We start from the raw sequence: 7,295 nt of genomic DNA, 5'->3' as shown, positions 1-7,295 counted from the left end.
TTACCTCTCCATCCAGCTCAGATCTGTCATCTTAATACTTCTGCCACTATCATGGCAATATCTTAAACTCCTTTTGCCCTGTTGTCATTAACTTATAACTGACAAAACCTGAGCCTTACATGAGTACAACTCTATCTTCCTTACTACTTTTTTCTTTTCTTTTTCTTTCTTTTTTTTTCTTTTTTTTTTTTTGAAAAGTTGCTGTGTGATGATGGAGGCAGAAATTAGAGTTATGTAGCTGCACACCAGGGAACACCAAGCATTGCCTACAACCACAGAAACTGGAACATGAGCATGGCCATTGATACGGTTTGGCTCTGTGTCCCCACCCAAAATCATGTCGGATTGTAATTCCCAGTGTTGGAGGTAGGGCCTGGTGGGAGGTGATTGGATCATGGTGGCAGAGTTCTCATGAGTGGTTTAGCACCATGCCTCATTAGTACTGGTTTTATAGTGGGAGAGTGGTCATGATCTGTTTTTTTTTTTTTAAAGTGTGTGGCACCTCCCGACTCTCTTCCTCCTGCTCTTGCCATGTAAGACATGCCTGCTTTTCCTTTGCCTTCTGCCATGATTATAAGTTTCCTGAGGCCTGCCCAGAAGTAGAAGCCACTATGCTGCTTGTACAGCCTGCAGAACTATGAGCCGTTAAACCTTCTTATAAATTACCCAGTCTTGGGTATTTCTTTATAGCAATGCAAGAACAGACTAATACAGAAAATTGGTACTTGGAGTGGTGCATTGCTATAAAGATACCTGAAAATGTGGAATCAACCTTGGAATCGGGTAATAAGCAGAGGTTGGAGGAGTACAGAGAGCTCAGAAGAGGACAAAGATGAGGGAAAGTTTGAACTTCCTAGAGACTTACTGAATGGTTGTGACCAAAATACTCATATGGACAATGAGGCCCAGGTCTCAGACAGAGATGAAGAATATATTGGCAACTGGAGAAAATGTCACTTTTGTTATGTGTTAGCAAAGAGCTAAGGATCTGTGGGACCTTGAACTTGAGAGTGATGATTTAGGGTATCTGGCAGAAAAAATTTCTAACCAACAAAATATTCAAGGTGACCTAACTGCTTCAAACAGCCTGTGCTCACATGCATGAGCAATGTAATGACCTGAAACTGGAACTTACATTTAAAAGGGAAGCAGAGTGTAAAACTGGAAAATTTGCAGCCTGGCCTTGTGGTACAAAAAAAGAACCTCTTTCCTGGGAATGAATTTAAGCTAGATGCAGAAATTTGCATAAGATGAGCCAAGTGCTGATAGGACAATGGGGAGAAGGCTTTGAAGGCACTTCAGAGAGCATTGTGGCAGCCCCTCCCATCACAGGCCCAGAGGCCTGGGAGGACTGCATAGTTTTTGGTCCAGGACCAGGGCCCCACTGCCCAACACAGCCTCCAGACACTGCTACCTGCATCCCAGCCAGTCCAGCTCCAGCTGTAGCTCAAAGGGACCCATTTATAACTCAGGTAGCTGCTCTAGAGGGTGCAAGCAATAAGCCTTAGAAGCATTCACATAGTGTTAAGCCTGCAGGTGCACACAGTGCAAGAATTGAGGTGTGGGAACTTCTGCCTGGATTTCAGAGGTTGTATGGAAAAGCCTGGATGTCCAGACAGAAGCCTGCTCCAGGAGCAGAGCCTCATGGAGAACCTCTACTAGGGCAGTGCAGACAAGAAATGTGGAGTTGGGTAGTGGGGCACTACCTAGTGGAGCTGTGAACAGAGGGCCACCATCCTCCAGACCCCAGAATGATAGATTCGCCAGCAGGTTGCACCCTCTACCTGGAAAAGCTGCAGGCACTCAACATCAGTTCTTGAGAGCAGCAGCAGAGGCTGAACTCTGCAACGCCACGGGGTTGGAGCTGCCCAAGGCCTTGGGAGCCCATTCCTTGCACCAGTGTGCCCTGGATGTGAGACGTGGGGTTAAAGGAGATTATTTTGGAGCTTTGAGGTTTAATGACTGCCCTGCTGAGTTTTGGACTTGCATGGGGCCTGTAGCCCTTTTATTTTGACCACATTCTCCCTTTTGGGAGTATTTACCCAATGCCTGTACCCACATTGTATCTTGGGAGTAACTAATTTGTTTTTTTATTTTACAGGAGCATAGATGGAAAGGACTAGCCTTGTCTCAGATGACACTTTGGACTTTGGAGTTTTGAGTTAATGTTGGAATAAGTTAAGACTTTAGGGGACTGTTGGGAAGGCATGATTGTATTTTGAAATTTGAGAAGGACATAAAATTTGGGAGGGGGCAGGGGTAGAATCATATGGTCTGGATATGACCCTGTCCAAATCTCAAGTCTCATTGTAATTCCCAGTTTCGGAGGTAGGGTCTGGTGGGAGGTGATTGGATCATGGAGGTGGAGTTCTCATTAATGATTTAGAGCCATCCCCTTTGTTATGGTATAGTGAGTGAGTTATCATGAGATCTCATTGTTTAAAAGTGTGTGGTACCTCCCACCTCTCTCTCTTGCTCCTGCTCTGGCCATGTAAGACGTGCCTGCTTCCCCTTCACCTTCCTCCGTGATTTTAAGTTACCCGAGGTCTTCCCAAAAGCCCAAGCCACTATGCTTCCTGAACAGCCAACGGAACCATGAGCCAATTAAACCTTTTCTTTATGAATTACCCAGTTTCGGGTATTTCTTTATAGCAGTGCAAGAATGGACTCATACAGCTCTGCTGACACCTTGATTTCAGAATCCTACTCTCCAGAACTGTTTGGGAATACACATCTATTGTTTTAAGCCAGTCAGTTTGTGGCATTTTGTTAGAGCAGCATTAGCAAACTAATACATCAACATAAGGAAACCAATTAGCAAATGAATAGGCACTGAAACAAGGTGTGTGGTGGGAATTACCAGCCTTAAAAGTGGGAACACTTTTAAGTGGGAACACAGTAAAGACAGCCCCCTTAAAGCCACTGGGGCACAGAAGGCAAGATCTGCACTGTAGACTTGGAGTCTGGAGAAGCCTGCAGGAGCCTGCCACACAGGACCCTAAGTGAAAGGCCACTGTCATGGCCCCAGTGAGAGGCCATGGATCCTGAGCCTAACCAGGACCACAGAAATAGGGTGCGAGAGAGGTGACAGCTGCCAGAAATACACAAGAGGCAAAAGTGGCAAGATCTGGTGATTGGTTGGATGTTGGGGGGACAATGCAGTGGGAGAAACTTAGGTGGATGGTGATTTTGCAGCAAAAATGAGGAATAAAAGCCAGTTTGGGGAATAAAGGGAGTTTATGAATTCAGTTTTTGACATACTGATTTGGGGAAGCTTATGGAATATACAAATGTGTTCAGCAGACAGTTGAGTCTATAAAGCTCAGGGAGATGCAATACACAAATGTTTGGGAGTCAACAGCATGGAGGCCGTTAAGATCACAGAGAGTAGGTAAAGACGAAAAAGCAAGTGTCAAGGGGAGAACCGTGAGCAACATCATCATGAATGTGGTGGGCAGAGGAGCCAAGGCAAGAGATGGGAAAGTCACTCTTCAGCATCTTCCCCCCACTCCCACTGAGTGTTCCAACTCAATAGAGATGGAAAGGGCTATAAATATGTCAGTCACATATTCTGAATCAAGGATCCACAATCTGGCTCCAAGGTATGAGAAAGTATAACAGTGGGGCCAAATATTTAAAATCAAGACCATCTCAGAAAATGTGGCCATGTCAACTGTAAAGGCATATGCAAATTGCTACCAGAAGCTGCCCAGAACAGAGGACATGTGACTCAGGACTTGCATGGGAGGAGGAGGAGGAGGGAACCACAATTCTTGTGAGAGAAACACGTGCACAAAGACACAGGACAGGAAAGCTCCATATGGCACACCATTTAGAATTAATCAGTGATTTCAGATTGATGTGACCATTGGAAGATTTCAAGTATGCATCACTAAACTTGAAAAATTAGTAAAACAGGAATAATTTTTATTTAAAAATAACAGTATTGTATTTAAAAACAATAGTACACGTCAAGAGATACTTCAGTACTGCCAAGGGTTTAATCTAGCATCCTCTTTCTCGCTAATCACACACCATGTAACCTTGCATAAGGTACTTCTCTGTGTGTTTCCACATCTATAAGATGGGAATAATGTGTCTACCCCAGGTTCATTCAAGGAGTCCTGTATACATGCAAAGCCCTTGGAAGAGTGCCTAGAATATAATGAGTGGTTGATACTTGTTCCTGTTAATATGGAAAATATTACTGTTAATAGTGCTTAAATAGTTGATAGGCTGCAGTTAACCTGCAGGACTCCTTGGTACAGGGTGCAGTGTTGAGTTCAATCCAACCAAGACACCAGCATACACTGGGTGGGGAGAGCAGCTATGGCCTGGGAGCACTACCAGGGGAAAGGCAGCTGGTGGAGCACCTTGGAGGAAATTCAAGCCTCCTTGGCAATTAGGGAAGATGGATTGTGTGTTTACAGCCGTGATCACCCATGTGCTCTGTGGTCTCAGACTTCCATGTCCCTGCACTTATCGCACAGGGGCCCTGCAACATGGCAGTCACTGAGGACTCAGTCTGCAGTCGAGATAGACATTAGGGAGTGGTGAGGTTTGTGGTGAACCAAAGGTGCAGATGCCTTCGGAAGGAGAAGGTCACCCCTCAATTTTAGCCAGTTGTTGTCATGTCAGAATATTAGCAAATCATCTTGATTTTTCAAATATGAAAAGTAGGAATTCTGTGGAGAACTTCCCAGTTGAAAAATGCAAGAAAAATTAGCTCTGTTTAGAAGCAAGTTGCAGCCTGCAGATCACAGTTGTGAACCCCCAGATGAGAGGCTCGTAACATAATCCTCTCGCCACGCCCTTTGATGTGCAAGCACCACTGGCAAGAAGTCTGGATACTTTTCTCGTAAGATTCTAACCAGTCCCAGAGGAAAAAAACTATTTCTTACTTTTCTCTGGAAGAATGTATATGTTGATTAAAGGAGTGTTACTACGTTAAGACCACTTTTCTGTGACTTTTACTGCCTCAGTCTGCAGCTCACCAACCTGTTCAAGGCTAGGAGCTGGAAGTCATTTGCTATCCCCTTTTCCTCGCCCTCACAGCCAATCCATGACCAAGTCTTAAAGAATGGATCACTTCAGTATCTCATAGATCTGTGCTTCCCACTCACATGTCAGGCCACGCCATCCTCTTGCTGAAGCCCTATTGATGCTTTCTAACAGGTTCTCGTGTCTCTCCCTGACCAGGCCCTCTTACAGACTGCAGAATTACCATCCACAGTGTACATTGGATGAGAATGTGTCACCACCATGCTTAGAACCACTCCTATCACTGACAGGTCAATATCTGAGCTCCTTGGCACAACACACATGTCCAGGGAGTGGCCAGTAATTAGTTGTGCCTGGAGTATTGAGAGCATCAGTGGCCGGGAACATCAGGCAAGATGTGATGTTTTAAAGAGCCTTGAATGCCATGCTAAGGACTTGGAACTGCATTGCACAGCCCATGGGGAGCTCTGGAAGGTTTAAAGCAGAGAAGAACCTTGCCTTGTCTAAATTCTGTAAGTCTCAGCACTCTGCTTCCTTCATAGCACTTGTAATTATTTCATTGACTTGTTTATTTTTTCCATATTTTCCACTAAATGTCAAGCTATGAGCAGAAATAAATTATGTCTATTTTGTTCACATTTACTTCTCAACTACCCTGTAAGTCCCTGAAACATAGTATGAATTCCATAAAAGGTAATTGAATACATGAGTAAATGAAGGATGAATGCAGGAATTGGATAAGTAGAATCAACACAAAATTAACCATGGGTTTCATTCAACACATACCTCACCACTCCTGCATGTATATAAGATTCTTCTGAAATACATCAAAATAAAATGCAAATTATATTGAAGCTTGGATGCAACAGAATACAGCAGCAATGACTGGACCTGAATGATGTGCATCTTATTGAGTAGTGCACAGGGCAGAGCAGACATTAGCAAGTAATTAGAGGCATAAGACCTTCACAAGTGCACATATGCCATAATTAATGGAAAAATCTGCTCATTTTTACTGGGGGCATAAATGCCAGGATTTGGTGTTCAACTCCACCTATAAGCATGTAAGATAAAGAGAGCTTACAGTCTTTATTAAGGTCTTCTTTCTTTGAATTCAAATAAATCAAGTTATTTATTAATTCAGACATACACTGAAATGTTATTGGGGTCTTCTCTGAGTAGTGAGATTTTCTCAATTGTCCAAAATTTTAATAGTAAGCATGTTTTACTTTAAAAATTAGAAAAACAATAAAGACTTAAGAAATGATTCTTGAGAATCAATTTATAATGCATTGTTTGAAGCCCTATAGTTGATATTTTTCAAATCCTTTTAATAACATTTTGATCCTTAGAACTAAAGTTTTTAGAGTAGGTGGAAATTTTGCCAGATCATCTGATATAGCTCCCTGCTGTTTCACAGGTAAATTTTTGACCAGCCAGGGTCCCTCCCCGACTGCATGAGATTCTAACGAGACTGTCAATCATGGAGATAGGTGGGGAGTCAGGGAATTCAGAGAGGCTAGAGAAAAAATTCCAAATTAAACTAAACTCTCAGAGTAACTGAAATATTTATTTCTCTGGAAACTAATTAATCCAGAAGTGTTCACATGACTCAAACAGGGATAATCAGACTATTTCTGTTGAGAAGAGGATTGTTCTCTTTATCTTGGCTCACAAGTCAACAGAACATGTGTGTTTGGAACTGTCATTCAAACTTTGAGTGATAGATCTGCTTGGCTCAGCTCAGCTCCTTGGACTTCCCAGAAGAGTATTAAGCCAAAAAGTTGTGTGTGTGTGTGTGTGTGTGTGTGTGTGTTTGCTGAAGGTTTGGATTCATTTTCTGTCACATACATCAGAAGGAATTTTTAATAAATAAGCCCCCTTAACTAATGCCATCTGTCCCCTTGGTTAAGATCTCCAAACATGAGGACCCTACACTATTCCTGGGTCTCTCAATTCAATGATTTTTGTTTTTATAATAAGTGGTAGCAAAAACAAAATTACATTTAACTTAAACTTTCTGCTAAAATATAAAGTTAAGAACTTCTATTTCCACCAGATATAGAGTAACAAGAACTGAATATATGTTGTATATATGTTCTTACTGAAATAACCAAGAAAAACAGACAAAGTATATGAAATAAATGTTTTCAAGTTACTAGATATTAGGCAACAAATACAGTGATTCCTGAGATGACTAAACTAATGAGATGAGCCCTGTCATTGTCCCTTAATACCTTTTTCAGAGAGTTCACAGCCTATAGCATCAGGAGGAAAAGCCTGGATAGAACTTG

The sequence above is a fragment of the Homo sapiens genome, chromosome 7 (assembly GCF_000001405.40).
Source record: "Homo sapiens chromosome 7, GRCh38.p14 Primary Assembly".
Lineage (NCBI taxonomy): Eukaryota > Metazoa > Chordata > Mammalia > Primates > Hominidae > Homo > Homo sapiens.
Note: the sequence above shows the minus strand (reverse complement) of the source record.